The sequence below is a fragment of the Homo sapiens genome, chromosome 15 (assembly GCF_000001405.40).
Source record: "Homo sapiens chromosome 15, GRCh38.p14 Primary Assembly".
NCBI classification, from domain to species: domain Eukaryota; kingdom Metazoa; phylum Chordata; class Mammalia; order Primates; family Hominidae; genus Homo; species Homo sapiens.
In genome coordinates this window covers 58,714,091-58,735,342 of record NC_000015.10, presented here as the reverse complement: position 1 = coordinate 58,735,342, position 21,252 = coordinate 58,714,091, and the positions used below count along the sequence as shown (strand labels likewise).

At 39.2% G+C, this 21,252-nt stretch overlaps 1 protein-coding gene across 2 annotated transcripts in view, besides 1 other annotated feature; it reads left to right on the top strand.

Moving 5' to 3' along the window:
• Positions 1 to 21,252, top strand: part of ADAM10 (ADAM metallopeptidase domain 10) — a 160,899-nt gene that overhangs the window by 14,365 nt on the left and 125,282 nt on the right. For both annotated transcript variants that reach the window (NM_001320570.2, NM_001110.4), the window contains exon 2: positions 17,616 to 17,766. In NM_001320570.2, the coding sequence (NP_001307499.1) occupies positions 17,616 to 17,766 (151 nt within the window). The remainder of the gene's footprint in view (positions 1 to 17,615; positions 17,767 to 21,252) is intronic.
• Positions 10,761 to 10,980: an enhancer, noted in NCBI's record as "active region_9476". NCBI's record gives its function as "activates an Ori minimal core promoter by ATAC-STARR-seq in GM12878 lymphoblastoid cells {active_cell/tissue: GM12878}" and the evidence as "EXISTENCE:reporter gene assay evidence [ECO:0000049][PMID:35858748]".

Below are 21,252 nucleotides of genomic sequence, written 5' to 3'. Positions count from 1 at the left end.
TTGTTCGTTTTGTCCTGCGTAGGTAATATATCTAATAGTGATGAAAGAACCTGGACTGGGAGAGTCTAGCAAGTAGTAAGGATCAGGATAGAGTAGGTGATAAGGAATCGGAGTAAACGATTAGGCAGCTTGGAACTAGGGAATCAGGAAGATCTATAACAAGGAGAGATTCCCAGATACAAAGGTGAGTGGGTCAGAGGCCAAGCTGTGTTCAGATAGAGATGGGTGAATAGTTAACATGTTTCAGTGAGATTTGATGATACCACATGCTCTATCTATACTTTCTGAGCTCTTGACTGATTGCTAAAGTTTAGAAATAAATCTCAGTTGATAGGTCCAGTCTCTGCATGTGGGAACAGGCAATTTTGTGATGTCTGACTGAGGTAGTAAGCAGTACAAGGGTTGAAGATTAGTCAGGGCTCCTGTGGAGTAAACCATGCCCATTTCAATCACTAGCTGTGGAAATCAAGGGTATATGTATATGTATATTTTTCTGTCTATAAGAAGTATATTCTTCTTTAGTATTGCATTGCTTGTTTTCCCCATCTTAGAGGTAGACGTCAGTTTAGTTTTTGAAAGGTTTTTGCCATGTGCTGTATTTTGATAATTTTTTTTCTTTTCAGTTTTTTTTTTTTTTAATTTTGAGACAGGGTCTCACTTTGTCACCCAGGCTGCATTGCAGTGGCACGATCTTGGCTCACTGCGGCCTCTACTTCCCAGGTTCAAGCGATCCTCCCACCTCAACCCCCCAAGTAGCTGGGATGACAGGTGCATGCCACCGTGCCCGGCTGATTTTTGTATTTGTTGTAGAGATGGCGTTTTGCCATCTTGCCCAGGCTGTCTTTTCAGTTTTTTGTCATATCAGAAATATGGTGACTTACCTTGTTTATGATGAAGGTAATTCGACTCATCGTAGATTAACATGAAATCATTGAAATCAAAGTTGAGTTCTTGGCACTGCCTCCTGTTTGCTATGTGACACTGGGTTTGTTACATATCACTCAAACCTCAGTTTTCTTTAAAATGGGCTAATAGTTCTCACTTGATTGGGTGGTTTAAATGAAAAAAATGTAGAGCAGTACAGAGCCTGGCAGATAGCAAGTGCTTGATACATTTTAATTATCATGACATCCAATTTATAAGCATTATTGTTTAATTTAGTTAAACAAGAAATTGATGTAATCAGGATATTGTTCTGTACATGGTAAGATTTCAGGGTACATTTAAGAAATTAGGATACTTTTAAAAATAAAATAGGATATATAGTTTGGGATTTTTAATTTTTCCCCTTTAAATATGTGAAATGTGAAACTTAAAAAATCATTTAAAAATGTTTGTTAGCCAGATTTTAATGTGAATTTGAATATATTGGATTTCTAAAACAAGAATGAGAAGCAACAGCCTTAGTGTAATATTATTTTTATATATATATATATAATGTAATGAAAAACTAAAGATATTCTATTAAAGTCAGGGACAAAGTGAACATGCCTACACTTGTTATTCAGCATGGTTTGGTACTCCTAGTTAGTGTAGTAAGTTAAAAAACAGATAAAATTATAAATAGATGAATAAAAGATTTAAATATGCAAAGCAGAACCAATAAAAGGCCAAGAAAGAAAATAAAGAATATTTTTGGAATTTTGCCTGCAAAATTTAGGGGCTCATGAATCCCCTATAGAGGTTATGCAGTTTCTCCCTCAGTATCTATGGGGATTGGTTCCATGAATGCTCAAGTCCCTTATATAAAAAGGTATACTATTTGCATATAACCTGTGCACATCCTTCCCTGTACTTTATTTTTGTTTTAAAGGGTTAAACAATAAGGCCTTTATCTGCACAAATCAGGGTAGAATGAGGCAGGCAGTTCCAGGATTGGCTGATTCGGAAACTGGCTAGACAAATCCATCTCAGCTACCATTGTCCACAAAAAAGGGGGACCTCTGGAAATCCACAGCAGACCCCAACCCAGGTCTTTTGGGCAGGAGCTGGGTCATTTCCACACTGAAACCACTCTGAGGGAGGGGATGAAGAACCACCAGGTTTTGTTCACTCACCTAGTTGTAGGTAATCTCTACATTGTGGATAGATGGAGCAGTTCAACTTCTGGCTGACAGCTCACATTCAGAGGTCACTGTCAGCTCTTCTCTTTTATGATCATGCTATTTTGAACAATGAGACAACATCTGCCATGCACTCTTAAGGCCTCTGTCCAGTGTGAACTCTAATGCCTAATGAGGTTAGGCCTTGACTGTATGCTTTTTTACATCCGCTACACTTCTACATTTATAAGGCCTTTCTCTGTGTGAACTTTCATGTGCCAAGCAAGGTGGAAGTTTCTGCATTCCCATATTTCCTGCATACATAAGGCCTTGTTCCATCACGAATTCTCTTATATGCTGTAAGATAGGAATTGTGGCTGAAGAATTTTCCACATTTACAACACTTAGAAGTCTCTTTTCCAGTGTGAACTTTCTGGTGCTCAACAAATGTGTCTTTATAGATAAAAAGACTTGTCACATGATCTGCACTCATAAGGCCTTTCTCCACTATGAATTCTCTGCTGCTGAACAAGATAGGATCTTCTAATAAAGGATTTATCACATTAAGCTCACTCTTTTTTTTTTTTTTTTTGAGATGGAGTCTTGCTCTGTTGCCCATGCTGGAGTGCAACAGCAAGATCTCGGCTCACTGCAACCTCCGCCTTCCTGGGTTCAAGTGATTTTCCTGCCTCAGCCACCCAAGTAGCTGGGACTACAGGTGTGTACCACCATGCCTGGCTAATTTTTGTATTTTTAGTAGAGACGGGGTTTCACCATGTTGGTCAGGCTGGTCTCGAACCCCTGACCTCAGGTGATCTGCCCTCCTCAACCTCCCAAAGTGCTGGAATTACAGGCATGAGCCACCATGCCTGGCTTTAAGCTCATTCTTTGTATGACCTCTTTAAAGTATGAGGGTTGGAGGTGGAGCCAAATAATTTCCCGCAATCACTGCATTTATAAGGTATTTCTTTGCTGTGAATTCTTCTTTGTACTGTAAAGTAGGAGTTGTGACTAAAGGTTTTCTCCACATTCACCACACTCCTAAGGCTTTACTCCGTCATGGATTTTCTGTTGCTGAACAAGTTTATCTTTGCAGTTGAAGGCTTTCCCACATCACTGCACTTGCAGCCCCTTTGTCCAGTGTGAAAGGCCTCCCTACTCTCAGTACTTTGGTGTGGCTTCTTCCCCATTGGGAGGGGCCTGGTGCTTGAAAACTTCAAAGCTATTCAAGAAGTATTTTCCACCCTTCCTGCTAGTGAAAACCTTCTTTGACATGTAGGATCTGCAGATCTTCACAAACACCAGGCTCTTTTCCTTCTAGAAGATTTCTGTCTGCTGCCTCTGAATCTGGTCTAGGTTACAGTGAACCAGAAGTCTCCACCCCATGACTCACATGTGTGTGGTTGCTATTCAGAGAATGTTCCCCTTGTCCAGCTAGATGGAAAAACGTCTTTCAAGACCAGGCCGCACATGTCATGGGGTGGGCTTTCTGACCTGCCTTAGGAATTCTCACCTGTGACACTCTTAAAGAAACACCCTGCTTGGAAGGTGCATGTTCATCCTCCACTCCATACCAGTTACCTTGGGTGGGGTCACCTCAGGGTGCTTGTTGCCTTCTGAGCCTCACTGCAAAATGCCCTCTCATACTTGAATTTTAATTTTTTTATTTTTTTGAGACAGGGTCTCACTCTCTCACTCAGGCTGGAGTGCAGTGGTGTGAATACGGCTAACCCCAGCCTCGACTTCGTGGGCTCAGGTGATTCTCCCACCTCAGCCTCTTGAGCAGCTGGGACAACAAGTGTGTGCCACCACACCTGGCTAGTTTTTTGTATTTTTTTTGTTGTTGTTGAGACGGGGCTTTGCTATGTTGCCCAGGCTGGTCTCTAATTCCTGGGTTTAAGCGATCTGCCCGCCTCGGCCCCCCAAAGTGTTAGGATTACAGGTGTGAGCCACTGCACCTGGCCCCTCCCATATACTTTAAACCATCTCCAGATTTCTTATAATACTTAATATAATGCCAGCACTTCATTTGTGTGGATTCAGCATAGTACTCAGTGTACAGCAAATTCAGGTTTTGTCTTTTGGAACTTTGTGGATTTTTTTTCCCCTTCAGTATTTTGAATCCACAGTTGGTTGAATTCCACTAATGCAGAACCCATGAATACAGAGGACTGACTCTATCAGTGAGGGTTTTCCAGAGAGACAGAACCAATAGGATATACATATGTACAGATAGATACATGAGAGAGGATTTATTAGGGGAATTGGCTTACACGATTATACAGACTGAAAAGTCCCATGATAGGCAGTCTGCAAGCTGGAGACCCTAGGATGCTGGTAGTATGGCTCATTTTAGTCTTAATGTCTGGGAACCAGGGAAGCTGATATTTTAACTCTGTCTGAGGCTGAAGGCCGCAGAGGCTGGAGTCCTGATGTCCCGAGGGGAAAGAGAGGGAGAATTTTCTTTTCCTCCACCTTTTTGTTTTTTTCCTGGCCTTTAGCCAATTGGATGGTGCCTGCCCACAGTGCAGGTGGATCTTCCCCAGTCAGCCCACCACTCCACCCGCCAGTCTTCACTGGAAGCACCCTCAGAGACACATCCAGAAATAATGCTTTACCAGCTCTCTAGGTCTTCCTTAATCTAGTCAAGTTGACACCTAAAATTAACTAACACAGAGGTTTGTGGATTTCAGGTTAGTATTCCTCTTGTAGAGGAAAAAAAGGTGAATTATAACCAAAGGCAGATGAAACTAAGTGTTTAAGTGACTTACCAAAGATTTGATACCTGTTCTGTAACATTTTGTAGGATGAAACTAAGTGTTTAAGTGACTTACCAAAGATTTAATACCTGTTCTGTAACATTTTGTAATACTTCGCTTATTCAACTCTGCTGTTGTGTGAAAGCAGAGATAGAAAATATGTAAATGAATGAGCATAGCAGTGTTGTAAAAACAGGTGGCCAGCTGGAACTGGCCTTTGGGTAACAGTTTGCCAACCCTTCTTCTACGTTATTTGGAAACTTTTTCTACTCAGTATATTGCCTGAGACATCAGTTGAGGTATTTTTTGCTTAAATGGTAGCACCCATGGTGTACCTATCCCTATTAATGTATTGTTAAATGCTTACATTAAAGCAAGTGTGTAGAAATAAGGATATACAGGTTGAGTATCCTTATTTGAAATACTTGGAACCAAAAGTGTTTTGGATCTTTAAATTTTCCGATTTTGGGAATATTTGCATTATGCTTACGATTTCCTAATGTGAAAATCTAAAGTGCTTCAATGAGTTTTTTTTTTTGTTTGTTTGTTTGTTTTGTTTTTGTTTTTGTTTTTGTTTTTTTTTACAGAGCCTCGTTCTGTTGCTTACGCTGGAGTACAGTGGCACGGTCTTGGCTCGCCGCAGCCTCCGCCTCCTGGGTTCAAGCGGTTCTTCTGCCTCAGCCTTCCAAGTAGCTGGGATTACAGGGGTGTGCCACCACTCCTGGCTAATTTTGTATTTTTACTAGAGACGGTGTTTCGCCATGTTGGCCAGGCTGTCTCAAACTCCTGACCTCAAGTGATCCGCCTGCCTTGGCCTCCCAAAGTGCTGGGATTACAAGCGTGAGCCCCTGCGCCTGGCTGAGCTTTTCTTTTCAGCATCATGTTGGAGCTCAAAAAATTTTAGATTTTGGAACATTTTGGATTTCAGATTTTTGGATACTCAACCTGTATAGCTGCTGGTAGAAGTCACGGAATTTCTGAATGAAGAAAGGTTACAGTGCTTCTCAAACTTGAATGTGCATACAGATCACTCTGGGGTAGTCTGGGGTAGAGCCTGAGTCATTTGTGGGGTCAGTAGATCTGCTGGGAGCCTAGGATTCTGCATTGCTAACACTTTCCCCGGAGATACCTATGCTGTTAGTCGCTGAAAAACAGTTTGAATTAACAAGATTCTGTGTTCAGAAAATTGTAAAATGCTAGATACGGAACAAGATTTAATTGGATAAAGACTTAAACATCCATAAACACAATTTCCAGTCTCAGTGATAGTAGTTGAAAGAACTTGTTAGTTGAACACATAGTGAGTAGTAGGCCTCCATATTTTCTTTTCTTTCTTTTTTTTAAAAAATAGAGACAGGGTCTCGCTATGTTGCCCAGGCTGGTTTCAAACTCCTGGGCTCAAGCAGTTCTTCTGCCTTAGCCTCCCAAAGTGCTGGGATTACATGTGTGAGCCACTGCACATGGCTCATATTTTCTTTTATTTTAGATTCAGTGTTGAATTGGACCTTCTGGTCTTCTAAGAAGTTCTTGAAAATGGCTTAGTTGCTGTTTTCTCAATGGATATTTTGCCTTGATGTTGGTTTCCCCCAATGTTCTTTTAAGACCTGTGGTCACTGGTTGTCATTTAATCTTTTATTTCCCCATCTCTTACTACTTATGTCCTATTAGCAAACTACAGTTATGTAGGAATATTGAATCATTACAGGCTGCTTAGTATTGGAAGTAGGTAGAATGTTAATTCATTTATTTTACTGAGAAGATAACTTGGAATATTTTGAATTCTCTTTTTGATTTGTCTTTGTTTTTGATCCTGGATTTTAAAAAATTTTGTAACTTAGGGAAATTTTATAACTTTTGTAACTTTATAAATTTTATATCTTAGGGAAAAAGTAGGAAGGCCAGAAACCCATATACCTACCACTTTGCTGCAACATTTTTCTTTTTTCTTTTCTTTTTTTTTAAAAAATAGAGATGGAATCTCGCTATGTTGCCCAGGCTGGTCTCGAATGCCTCACCTTAAGCTGTCTTCTTTGGCCTCCCAAAATGCTGGGCTTATAGGTGTGAGCCACCACACCTGGCCTCAATATTTTTATTTAAAAAAAAATCTAGTCAGCTTTATTGAGGTATAGTTTACATACAATAAAATTCAACAATTTTTTAAGTGTACGAATTCATAAATTTTGAGAAGTATATTTACTTGTATAACTACCTCCATAATCATAGAACATTTATATCAATCCAAAAAGCTCCCTGGGCTATTTGCAGTCAACTCAAAATACTTTCTAATTTCCATTTGATTTCTTCTTTGACCCATGAACTACTTAGAAATGTAAATTCCTAATATTTGGGGATTTTCTGCATATCTGTTATTGGCTTAATTCTCCTGTAGTCAGAAAACATACTCTTAGATTTTAGTCTTTTAAAATTTGTGGAAACGTGCTTTGTGGCCTAGGATTAAGGTCTATCTTTGTGACTGTTCCATGTGCCCTTAAAAAGAAATATATTCTATCTATCTAGTCAAGTTCTTTGTGTTTAAGTTTTTAATAATCTTACTGATTTTTTTGTCTGCTTGTTCAGAAAGGAGTGGTATGATTTCCAACTCTAGTTACAGAGTCTGCTTTTTTCTGTTCTATCAACTTTTTCTTCACATACTTTGAAGCTTTTTTTATGTACATAAATACTTAGGCTTGTTGTGTTTTCTTCTTGAATTAGGAAATGTCCCTCTTTATCCCTCATAATTTTTTTTGTTTTGTTTTGAAGTTTGTTTTTTCAGCTATTACTGTAGCCACTCCAGCTTTCTTTGGATTAGGGTTTGGATGTTATATATTTTCCCGTCCTTTTTACTTTAACTCATCTTTATTTTTGTGTCTGTTAGCATATATTTACATTTTCCTTTTTTAAAAAATAACAAGGCTGGCGTGTCATCTCATGCCTGTAATCCCAGAACTTCGGGAGGCCAAGCCAGTAGGATTACTTAATACCAGGTGTTTGAGACCAGCCTAGACAACATAGCGAGTCCCCATTTCTACAAAAAATAAGAAAGATTAGCCAGGCTGGGCGCGGTGGCTCACACCTGTAATCCCAGCACTTTGGGAGGCCGAGGTGGTTAGATCACTTGAGGTCAGGGGTCTGAGACCAACCTGGCCAACATGGCAAAACCCTGTCTCTGCTAAAAATACAAAAATTAGCTGGGTGTGGTGGTGCATGCCTGTAATCCCAGCTACTGGGGAGGCTTAGGCAGGAGAATCACTTGAACCTGGGAGGCAGAGGTTGCAGTGAGCCGAGATTGCGCCGTTGCGCTACGGCCTGGGCAACGAGCGAAACGCTGTTTTTGGGAAAAAAAAAAAAAAAAAAAAAAAAAAAAAGATTAGTCAGGCATGGCATGGTGGTGCACCAGTTTCCAGTTACTCAGAAGGCTAAGGTGACTGGGTTGCTTGAAGCTAGGAGGTTGAGGGTACAATGAGCTATGATCACGTCACCACACTCCAGCCTGGGCAATGAGTGAGACCCTGTCTCTTAAAAATCAAAAAGCGAAATGACAGCTTTTGCCTTTTAATTGTTATGTTAGATCATTTACTTTCCCTTCTGCTTGCTCTTCCCCTTCCCCTTCGTCTTCTCCTTTTCCCTCTCCCCTCCCCTCCCCTCCCCTCCTCTCCCCTCCCCTTCGGAGATGGAGATCTCTCTCTGTTGTCCAGGTTGGAATGCAGTGGCCGTTCACAAATGTGATCATAGTGCATTGCAGCCCCAAACTTGGGCTCAAGCAGTCCTCCCACCTCACTCTCCTGAGTAGCTGGGACCACAGGTGCACACTAATGTACTCAGCTGGATCATTTACTTTTAATGTAATTATTCATATGGCTGAGTTTTAAACTGTCATCTTTCTATTTGTTTTCCATCTGTTCATAGTTCTTGTCCCCCTCTTTTCTTGCATTTTTCGGGAGTAATATACTTTTTTTTTTTTTTTTTTTTTTTTTGGGAGACTGAGGTCTCGCTCTGTCGCCCAGGCTGGAGTGTAGTGGCGCGATCTCGGCTCACTGCAACCTCTGCCTCCTGCGTTTAAGCGATTCTCATGCCTTAGCCTCCTGAGTAGCTGGGATTACATGCACCTGCCACCATGCCCCATTAATTTTTGTATTTTTAGTAGAGATGGGGTTTCACCATGTTGGCCAGGCTGGTCTCGAACTCCTCGCTTCAAGTGATCCACCCGCCTTGGCCTCTCAATATAAACTTTTAAAAATGATTCAATTTTATCTCTGCTATTGGCTTTATGATGATATACCTGTTGTATTTTTTAGAGGTTGTTCAGTGTACAATATCTATAACTTATCACTGTATACTTTCAAATAATATTACTTCACTTCATATGGAGTATATGTACACTGTGTTTCTCCTCTGTTTTCTGTTGTGCTGTTATTGTTACACATTTTAATTCTGTGTGTCATAAATTCCACAGTAGATTGTGTGTTTAAAAAATGTATTCGCTTAACTTTGAAAGAGATTAAAAATGAGAAAATAAATCCTTTTTATTTTCTTATATATTCATTATTTCTGTCACTTTTATTATTTGCATCAGTGTAGGTTTCCATCTGGTATTATTCCTTCTATCTGAAAAACTTTATCATTTCTATTAATGGAGGCTACTAGTGATGCATTGTAAGCTTTGAAGCCCAGAAGGGCTTCGTTTCACCTCCTCTTCTCACCTTCATTTGTGAAAGTTATTTTCACTGGCTATAGAATCTTAGGTTGATAGAGTTCTTTTTTTCTTGTAGTACTTTAAATATGTGGCTGCATTTTCTTCTGACTTAACATAGAGTGTGCTGTCAGTTTTATCTTTGTTCCTCTGTTTATAAAATGTGTCTTTTTTTTCTGGCTCCTTTAGTGCTTCCCTACCCACAGATGATTTTAAGAATTTTTTTTTCTCCCTAGTTTTTAGTCATTAGCTTATGACATGCCTTTATGTGGTTTTTGTTTATTTATTTATATTTTTAATTTTAATTTTTATTTTTGAGACAGGGTCTCACTTTGTTGCTGAGGCTGTTGTGATCATAGCTCACTGCAACCTTGGACTCCTGGGCTCAAGCGAACCTCCTGCCTCAGCCTCCTGAATAGCTGGGATTACAGGTGTGCAATAAAAAGTATTCCTGGCTAATTTTTACTTTTTTTTTTTTTTTTTGGTAGAGACAAGGTCTTGCTATATTGCCCAGCTGATCTTGAACTTCTTGGCCTTGAACAGTCCTCCTGCCTTAGCCTCCCAAAGTGCTGGGACTGCAGGCATGCACTACCATGCCTAATTTTCTTTTATTTTTTATATTCATATAATAAATACGATTTATTTATTTATTTATTTTGTTTGAGACAGGGTCTTGCTCTGTTGCCCAGGCTGGAGTGTGGTGGCACGATCATAGCTTACTGCAGCTTTGACTTCCTGGGCTTCAAGCAATCCTCCTACCTCAGCCTCTCGAGTAGCTGGGACTGTAGGCATGTGCCACTGTGCCCAGCTAGTTTTTATATTTAGTAGAGACAGGGTTTGGTCATGTTGCCCAGGCTCGTCTTGAACTCCTGGGCTCAAGCAATCCACCCGCCTTGGCCTCCCAAAGTGTTGGGATTATAGGTATGAACCACCGTGCCCAGGCTCTGTGGCTAATTTCACTCCACTAGTAAGGTGTTATTTTTCTGAGGACTGTAGCAATGCTCCATACATTACAAGGTCTTTCTTCTCTAGATGGTAGAAATATGAACATTTTCCAGCCCTGTGTGAGCTTTGAGGATTGTTTTGCTTCCTTCTACTGGTGGTTCATTTTTTCTGAGGCGGGAGTTTATTTTCTCACATGCTTAGATCAGTAGTCAGCCAAACCCTTAGGGAACCCCCACTTGAGGTGGCTGGAGCTCTCTCTCTGTTCAGCTTCCTCCTTTCTGACACTCTGGCACATAGATTCTAAATACCTGATCTCCCTGAACTCAGAGGTTGTCTCAATTAAGTGGAAACTTCAGGCTCTTGGTTTCTTCTCCCTGTCATTTGGCCTGGAGACTGCTTACAGGCAGTAAGCTGGGCCAGTTGTAGTAGATCTCACTTCATTTGTTTCTCTTGTCACATCTTTTATCTAGTTTTCTAATTGTTTATGGTGGTAGGCTAAATTCAGTCTCTATTACTCCTGAAGTAGCTAGTGATTTAATAATTTGCATATTTTTTTCTTTTTTACCCTGCCTCCCACCCTAGAATCTGTCTAGTGTGAGTTATGGACATCGTGTCATTTTACCCTTAAATATTTAAAATGAACCTCCCAAAATTTAGAACCTTCTCCTTATAATAACAATGTTGTTGTACTAAGGAAAATTAATATGAATTTCTTTCTTTTTTTTTTTTTGAGACGGAGTCTTGCTCTGTTGCCTAGGCTGGAGTGCAATGGCACGATTTCGGCTCACTGTAACTTCTGCCTCCCGGGTTCAAGCAATTCTCCTGCCTCAGCCTCCCGAGTGGAGACAGGGTTTCACCATGTTGGCCAGGCTGGTCTTGAACTCCTGACCTTGGGTGATCCACCTGCCTCGGCCTCCCATAGTGCTGGGATTACAGGTGTGAGCCATCACGTCTGGCCAATATGAATTTCTTAATATAATCTAAGACTGATTCTGCTTTGTCTAGGATTGTTTCCAAATGTCGTTTGTTTTCTTCTCAATTGGATTCTTTTTCTATTTTCCTTTTATTGTTTCTTTCATGGTTTTTTTCTCCAGTGTGTTTTTACAATGTTATGTTCATGGTTGTGTGTCTCTTCTCTACCCAGTTATTCTTTTTGCTATGATATAAAGTGGGTGAGTTTATTTTTTATTTTTTATTTTTTGAGGTGGAGGCTCACTGTTGTTGCCCAGGCTGGAGAGCAGTGGCGTGACCTTGGCTCACTGCAACCTCCGTCTCCCGGGTTCAAGAGATTCTCCTGCCTTAGTCTCCCAAGTAGCTGGGATTACAGGCGTCAGTCACCACGGCAGGCTAATTTTTTTTTGTATTTTTAGTAGAGACTATGGGTTTCACTATGGTTTCACCACTCTGTTGGCCAGGCTGGTCTCAAACTCCTGACCTCAGGTGATCTACCCACCTCAGCTTCCCAAATTGTTGGGATTACAGGCATGAGCCACCACACCCGGCTTGTGATTTCTTTTTTCTTTTCTTTCTGCCTCTGAGACCAGTGTATTTTTTTTCCGCCTTCCAATCTTAGTTTGAGGGGCTGATTATTTTGTGTTTTATTCACGTTTCTGCAGTCACGGGGCTGTGATCATATATAATTTTTTTGAGAATTCCAGGACTCCCATTCTCTTGAGATTTTTAAATAAGTGAATTGTGTGGCATCTGAGGGCTAGGGGCAACATCAGAAGTCCAGTGTGCCATGCTTTCCTACATTTTCATTAAAATATTATTTCATTCCTTGGCTGCCTGTTTGAAAGATTATATTATTAGGTTATGACCAGTGTTGTATTTAGCACACTGTCTTGAAAAAAGAAAAAAAAAATCCTCTGATTTGGCTGGGTATGGTGGCTCACACCTGTAATCCCAGCACTTTGGGAGGCTGAGGCAGGAGGATCGCTTGAGCCCAGGAGTTTGAGACCAGCCTGGTCAACACAGTGAGACCCTGTCTCTACAAGAAATACAAAAGTTAGCCAGGCATAGTGGTGCGTGCCTGTAGCCTGAGCTACTGGGAAGGCTGATGTAGGAGAATCACCTGAGCCCTGGAGGTCAAGGCTACAGTGAGCCTTGATAGTGCTACTGCACTCCAGCCTGGGCAACAAAGTCAGACCTTGTCTCAAAAAAAAAAAAAAAAAAAAAAAGTTCTCAAATTTGTAGCCTTTTCAATGTCAGTTTCCATGGTGGTGTAAATACTCCCTTCATGGCTGATTTCAAGCTACAAACATAATGTTACAGAGCATGAAGTTGGGAAGGGAACTGACACTCATGAGCATGTATCAGCCAAATTGCTTATCTTTTTTTATTTGATTTCAGTTCTTTTCTTTTTTTTTTTTTTGAGATAGGGTCTCTGTCATCTAGGCTGGAGTGCACTGGCCGTTATCATAGCTCACTGTGGCCTTGAACTCTTGGGATTAAGTGATACTCCCTCAGCCTCTTGGGTAGCTTGGATTACAGGTGCATGCCATCATTCCTGGCTAGTTTTTTTGTATTATTTATTTATTTATTTTTACTTATTATTATTTTTTGTGACAGAGTTTTGCTCTTCTTGCCCAGGCTGAAGTGCAGTGGTGCGATCTTGGCTCACTGCACCCTCCACCTTCCGGGTTCAAGTGATTCTCCTGCCTCAGCCTCTTGAGTAGCTGGTGTTATAGATGCATGCCATCACGCCAGGCTAAGTTTTGTTATTTTTAGTGGAGACGGGGGTTTCACCATGTTGGCCAGGCTGGCCTTGAACTCTTGACCTCAGGTGATCCACTCGCCTCGGCCTTCCAAAGTGCTGGGATTACAGGCATGAGCCACCGTGCCCGGCCTATTATTTACATATATATATTTATTATTTCAGACAGAGTTTTGCTCTTGTCACCCAGGCTGGATTGCAATGGTGCGGTTTTGGCTCACCGTAACCTTCGCCTCCCGGGTTCAAACGATTCTCCTGCCTCAGCCTCCCGAGTAGCTGGGATTACAGGCACCTGCCACCATGCCCAGCTATTTTTTGTATTTTTAGCAGAGGTGGGGTTTCACCATGTTGGCCAGGCTAGTCTTGAACTCCTGACCTCAAGCGATTCACCCCCCTCAGCCTCCCAAAGTGCTGGGACTACAGGTGTGAACTACCACACCCGGCCACCTGGCTAATTTTTAATTTTTTGTAGAGACAGGGGCCTTTCTATGTTGCCTAGGCTGGTCTTGAACTCCTGGACTCAAGTGATCCTCCCACTCTGGCCTCTCAAAGTATTGGGATTACAGGTGTGAGCTACTGCATCTGACCTGATTTCAGTTCTTGAAGTTTGTTCTATGTGTGTGTGGGGTGGGGGCAGAGGGGCAGGTAGGCTGCTTTATCCTCTACCCATGGCCCCCTTATTTCCCTCTTCATTAAGTATTAGGGAATAGAAATTATGTAATTCAATTTCATACATTATCTTAATATAAGTTTTTTTCCCACAGTACTGAGATTACACAAATACTGATATTTAGGCATAATTAAGATAAACATTCATAGGTCTTATATAGAAGATGATAATGAGATGGACTTGGTAACTGTGTGTCCCGGGGAAGTGTTTTTAGCTTTCCCAATTAAACCCTATGAATCATGTTCTATCTCAATTACAAAGATTCAGAAAATCATTACTCAGGTCTTTTGCCAGTGAAAGTGAATAGTATGTTGCTTTTATAAAATTTGTGTGTGGGACAGAGAAAAGATGACTTTGTTTAATAACTCTCCCAGTAGAATTTCAGCTGTGTAAATCGTTGAGCTTTTGTCATGAGTGCTTCAGAACAGCAATAGTTATTGTTTTAAGTTATCAAAAGTGACAGAATACTTTATCTGAACTGCGACTTAAAAACTTGACTTTTTCCTGATTTAAGCAGCAGAGACAGAAATAAAAACCAGCTTGACGCCTTTGGTGCCGAAAAAGGAGTGGAATCCACAGTTCTGCAAAGCCAAGCTTGTGCTATGGCAACTCAGACCACTTAAATCCAATTCAGTAATCCAGTGGAAATTTTCAAAATGAAAGAAATTATTCAAAAGTTCTCATTCTTCCCCATTATTGATTTCTTCTTTTTTGCTAAACTCAATTATACTACATTTATAAGTATGTTTAAAGGATACAGAAGATGCATTGGTATATTTGATTCCATTATTTAGTCTTGATTTTTAAAAGTTCCATGCTAGGCCGGGCGTGGTGGCTCATGCCTGTAATCCCAGCACTTTGGGAGGCTGAGGTGGGCGGATCACGAGGTCAGGAGATCGAGACTATCCTGACTAACATGGTGAAACCCCGTCTCTACTAAAAATACAAAAAATTAGCCGGGCGTGGTGGCAGGTGCCTGTAGTCTCCAGTTACTCGGGAGGCTGAGGCGGGAGAATGGCGTGAACTCAGGAAGTGGAGCTTGCGGTGAGCCGAGATTGTGCCATTGAACTGCAGTCTGGGTGACAGAGCGAGACTCTGTCTCAAAAAAAAAAAAAATAAAATAAAATAAAATAAAATAAAATAAAATAAAAGTTTCATGCTAGTGGGTTTTATTATCTCTTAGACATTGGCTTCACTGAAATTTCTTTGCTACTTGTGAAGATAGTTTTGGACTCATTCTTCTCACCTCTCTTGGGAGGAGTGTGTTCAAGAGGAGAAGGAAGTAACTCAATAGTAGTTTAAGTTGAATTGTCCTTTTATGCCGCTCTTTGTGCTCGTAAGCATTTTGCATGCATTTAAGGTAGGCATTGTTGTCTCCATTTTACAGATTAAAAAACCACCTCCTGAGATTTAAAAAAGTTAAATAATTACTTAGCTCATGTGGTTATGGCTAGGAAGTGTCAGAATTCAACCCAGTTTTGTTTTTTCTTCCTGAATTCTTGGCTTCAGTGTGTGTATATTGGTCTGAAAGGCAAAGTGTGGGAGAAGGAAGAAAAGGAGGAAGGGGGAAGAGATGATGATGATGGATAATTTATTGAACCTTGCCTCTTTGGTAGGCTCTCTAATATTAATTGTCACACATGGTTTAAATCATTTAATCTGTGAGTCTTAAGAGAGAGCTACTCTAGTTTCTTCATTTTATGGACAGGAGACTGAACCTGAGTAGTTTTCTATTCGATCTGGGAAACAACTAATGATTGAAGGTAGTGGTATTCAAACCCAGATCATTTTTTTTTATTCTAGTAAAAAATGCTTAAGGTAAAATGTACTGTCTTAACCACTTCTAAGTATACACTTCAGTAGTGTTAAGTATATTCACATTGTTGTCTAACAAATCTTAGAACTTGAACCCAGATAATCTGACATCAGAGTTTATGCCCTTAACCACATAGTGCATAAACAGAAAATTTAGTGTTGGATCACAGAATTTAGTGTTGGATAATAGATGAACCATTTTTAGACAACTTGTTTTATAAAAGAGGACAATTTAGTTAAAAATTTTACTTGATTTGTCAAAGAATCACTTTTTTTTTTCTTCTCTTGAAGATGGAGAAATAAGGATTAAATTTACTTTCCTGCATGAAAGGAAACAAGGAAACCAGGAAAAATACAGAAAGACAATTTTTTTTTTTCTTTGAGACGGAATTTCACTTTCGTTGCCCAGGCTGGAGTGCAATGGCATGATCTCGGCTCACTACAACCTCTGCCTCCTGGGTTCAAGTGATTCTCCTGCCTCAGCCTCCTGAGTAGCTAGGTTTATATGCAGCCACCACCACACCCAGCTAGTTTTTGTATTTTTAGTAGAGATAGGGTTTCACCATGTTGGTCAGGCTGGTCTCGAACTCCTGACCTTAGGCGATCCACCTGCCTCGGCCTCCCAAAGTGCTCGGATTACAGGCGTGAGCCACCACGCCCAGCGAAACAATGGTTTTTAAGGCATTGGTCATCAGGTAGTGAAGGACCCTGAGAGGGGAAACAGTAAGGTTGGCCCTTCGATTGTGCCAGCTTTCTGCCTTGAGAGATTTATGGGTTGTGGTACTATGAGAGGGAACCTAGGTAGAGTCCAGGGAACTTCCTCAGTTGAAGAGATGAAGCTGAGGGTCAGGGGAGACCAAAGTGGCTGGAGTTCACAGACAGAATATCAGGGTGAAGAGAGAGCTGCACAGAGGATCCCTGAGATCTGCAGAGGCTTCCACTGTAGTGTTCAGCAGAGCTCTAATCAGCCCATATGTGGAAACTACCTGAGGCTAAAGAATCATCCCAAAAGATTAGATTGAACGGTACCTGGTGCTCAGATAGGGCTATAAGTAGTGCCTTTTCTTACCAGGTAGACTGGAAAAACTCAGTTCATGGAGCATTGGGTAGACTACTGAGATAGGTCTTGCCTCAGTAGTGGGAAATAATTAGCCCCAGACTGAGCACTCATTCTACATAAATTTGTCCAGAGAATTGAAGAAGAGGTAATACTTCTCAACACATTTTTTTTTTACCCCAATACCAAAACTTGACAAAGATAGTACAAGAAAAGAAAACTGTAAGCCGGTATATACCCTGAACACAGAAAACAAAATTCTAAACAAAATTACAGTAAATTGAATCTGACAACATGACCAAGTAGGGTTTATCTCAGTAATGCAAGGTTGGCTTAACGTTCAAAAATCAGTAAAATTTAATTCACCATATTAATACATTAAAAAGAAAAAATATGATCATCTTAATAGCTGCAGAAAGAGCAGGTACAGAAATAAGCATTTGTTCCCGATAGTTTTTTAACTTTTTATTTATTTTTATACTTTTTATTTATTTTTATTTTATTTTTTATTTTTATTAGGGATGAAGTCTTGCTATGTTGACCAGGCTGGTCTGGAATTCCTGGCCTCAAGCAGTCCTTCCATCTCAGCCTCCTAAAATGCTGGGATTACAGGAGTGAGCCCCTGCACCTGGTCCTGATAGTTTTTATCAGCAAAATGTGAATAGAAGAGAACTTGCTCAGCTTGATAAAGGACATCTAAAACAAACCTATGGCTAACATCCAAACTTGTGTGTGCGGTTGGAATTACCCTCACAATAAGTTTTAATAATATATGTGTTAATATTAATGCAGAATTCATAATAGTGCTGGGATTAGGGAGAAGTTGTTTCATACATATTCATAGATACTTGAATAATCGTGTTAGAACTAGAAGGGGTCTTCAAGATGATACTAATTCAGAATGTTGTTTTTTTTTTATAGGTCAGTATGGGAATCCTTTAAATAAATATATCAGACATTATGAAGGATTATCTTACAATGTGGATTCATTACACCAAAAACACCAGCGTGCCAAAAGAGCAGTCTCACATGAAGACCAATTTTTACGTCTAGATTTCCATGCCCATGGAAGGTAAGTAAATTTATTGCTGACTGTGTCTGAAGTTCCTCTATATTCAATCTAAGTTAAAGAGGAGATTTATATCCTTAATTTTCCTTCTCTAATGCAAGGTCTTCATTTGGAAATTCCATTTCCACTGGAATTTGGTATATGCATTAAAAAATGACTTATTTTAAAATGGATTGCCCTTTTATATTGTTGAGGAAACAGTCAAATTTAAATGTTTTTGAATTTATGAATCAGATCTTACATTAGTAAAAGATATGTCTTTAAAGAAGATTCTGTGTACATAGTTTCTGACTACTTTTTATATGTTTTATGGTCAATATATCTATCTACTGGTGCCAGCAGTGAAGGTAACTACTTATATGCCATTGAATACATCATTTACTCAGTTTTACCAGTTCTAAAATGACAGCTGGTAGACAGATTACCTGCTGTTTTGTTCAGTTCTCAAACAGAATTGTTAAGTGATAAAGGGGAGTCAAGGGAGAGAGGTTAAAAAAAATCACTTATTGAGTACCTGTTGTGTTCTAGATGCTTTATATGCATTTTCTTGTTTAATCTTCTCAACATCCAGACAGAGGTAAATAGCTTTTTATATCCGAGGAAACTAAGGCTCAGAGAAGTTAAATAACTTACACAGCACTGATTTTACCGAGACCTGGCTGAACACCCCTTATTTTTTCTCTATCTGTTAGGGACACTTACAGAATCTTGGGGATCTTTGTGAAGCCCTCTCTGTCTTATGTGTAATTATTAAATCTATTCCTTTTGTACTTTTTGTACTGATGTAACCCTGATTGATTACTGTAGTGTTCACTTCCTAATAAGTTTCCCCGCTTCTGCTCTGTTTATCAATAAAGCTATTCTACTGCTATGAGATGACTTTTCTCTAAATACTTCTTTTTTCATGTCAGCTTATTGATCTAAAGTCTTCAATTAATGATTGTTAGCCAGATTTTCTTAATTTGACTTTTAAGTTTCTCTGTAAATTAATCCTAGTCTATTATTCTAAACTTACTTTGTTTTACTTGCCAGCATCAAGTGTGTATTTCACCCAGAATGATCTTCTAGTCTGTGAATATACCATGTAAACTTTGTTCTGTGTCATTTGTCCTAAATCCTGATCATCTTTTAATGTACAATTCAACTTCTGCCTCTTAGACACTTTACTTTTTAATTCCGTCTAAACTTTAAAGTTACTTATCTGAATCATTGGCATCATTTGTGCCCTCTTCCTTTTTGTGGGTACTTCTTATTAATTTTTCCATAACCGTGTTTTCTGTTCCTCACAGCAGGCATCCTGGCTACTATTTGGTATTATCCATTATATTGCACATATGGTACACGTGCTTAAACATTTTAATGGATGAAAAATCAGATAATTAGGAATGCTGTGAAACTTAAAGTATTTTGTACATGAAAATAAATGTGTCACTTAAATTAATGTATTTTCCGTATTACAAAAGTAATGATTATTGTTGAAAAAATTACTTTTAAGTTATAAAATCTTCTTTATCTGAAGGAGGGAAAAAGATTTATTTCAGGGTCTTTTCTTCTAGATAAACATTTTAGTGTATTTATGTACTATGAAATTACAAGCAATCATTAGTCTTACTGTTTTTAATGAGCATCTCAAAATATACTTAGTATTATTAATTATATTAATCTATACCAAATATGGTTTGACTGCCAAAAGGAAAAGATTTTAGCTGCTTTTGGCTTAAATATCTATTCCTATTATATAATTAGATTTTTGTTAGCTGTGTCATGTAATTCATATTGAATAAATGGCAAAACTAAATCCCTAGCTCCTTTGTGTGTGTGTCAGTGAGTGAGAGAGAGCAGGGAAAGCGAGAGAGTTTGCATGAGTGAGTGGGCTGCCATGTAGTTGTCCAAAAAATGTTTACTGACTGCTAGTGAAAAGTTACTTAGTATAGACTGTGGGTGATAGAAACATAAATCAAACATAGATCTCATAGGAGCAGTTAGATGTGCCTGTTATTGTATAAGGCACATGTGATGTGTTACATTACAGATAAAATGCTATAGATATTCAAAGGAGGGAGAACTTCTTGCTGAGGCACTAAAAAAGGACCTGAAACCAGGAAATCTCATGTAATGTGGTCTCATTTATACAGGTCATTTTAGGGTACTTTTTTTTTTTTTTTGAGACAGAGTCTTGCTCTGTTGCCTGGGCTGGAGTGTAATGATCCTCTCTTGGCTTATTGCAACCTCTGGGTTCAAGTGATTCTCCTGCCTCAGTCTCCCAAGTAGCTGGGACTACAGGTGTGCGCCACCATGCCCGGCTAATTTTTGTATTTTTAGTAGAGACGGGGTTTCACCATGTTGGCCAGGCTGGTCTCGAACTCCTGATTTCAAGTGATCCGCTCACCTCGGTCTCCCAAAGTGCTGGGATTACAGGCATGAGCCACCATACCTGGCCCATTTTAGGGTGCTTTTAACACAAATCTGCTTAATTAACTATACAAACTTACTGTATTTTCTGTAATTCATCCAATTTCAGATATTTTAGTTTATTTTCCCAATTTTTATATATTCACTCTGTCTCAGAATTTCTGCCCTAAACCGTGGTCATTTTAATTACCTTTTAAAATACTTTACTTAAAAATGTAAAGGGCTGATGATCTTGTTCCTCCCTTTCCTTGAAAATAGGCCTACAAAATGACTGGAGTAGTATAATTACAGATTTCCTGCTAGGTCTTTCTTCCTCTTCTATCGTCTAACAAATATTAGTCTTGGTACACTGTAACTCCTCCTAACAGGATTTCTATCTGTATATAAATTATTTATTATTTGTTAATAACATTTTGTATTTTATTTTTATAAATTTTTATTTTTTGTATTTAATACGAATATGTTTTATTTTTATTTTTAGGTAGATTGGCTCAACACATAATAAATATAACTTTGAAATGACTTTGAGTTAGAGTTACTTGTAGCCCAGCCTATAAGATGTGTACTATCTTGTAGCCCAGCCTATAAAATTGTACTGTCTTATACATTGTGGCTAGAATTGTTTTCTGTATTTCACCCTTTAAAAAATATCAAGTAGAGTTTATTTTTTTTATTCACATAATAGGCTTTAGTCCCCTAGAATCTGATCAGTATACTTTAACACATAATAGAATATATTAAATACTGTGCAGTTAACTTAGACATACCAAGAAGAATATACTTGGAAGGGGTTTTGCTTATACAGTTGTGACTTACATTTCTGGGTAGTAGCACAGCTTCTGTGTGTGTGTGTGTGTGTGTGTGTGTGTGTGTGTATGTGTATGTATAAGTATTAAAGTAATTTTTTGTGGTTTTTATGTCTAAGCACATGAACACACTTTCAGCATGGCTTCCAAGTTTTCTGATTAACAGAGTATATTATATGCCATGTTTACAGATGTTACTGTTAAATGAAGAAACGTTTATATTTTTCCAAACCAAAAGTCCATTCTTAAGAATTCTATGGCCAGGTGCGGT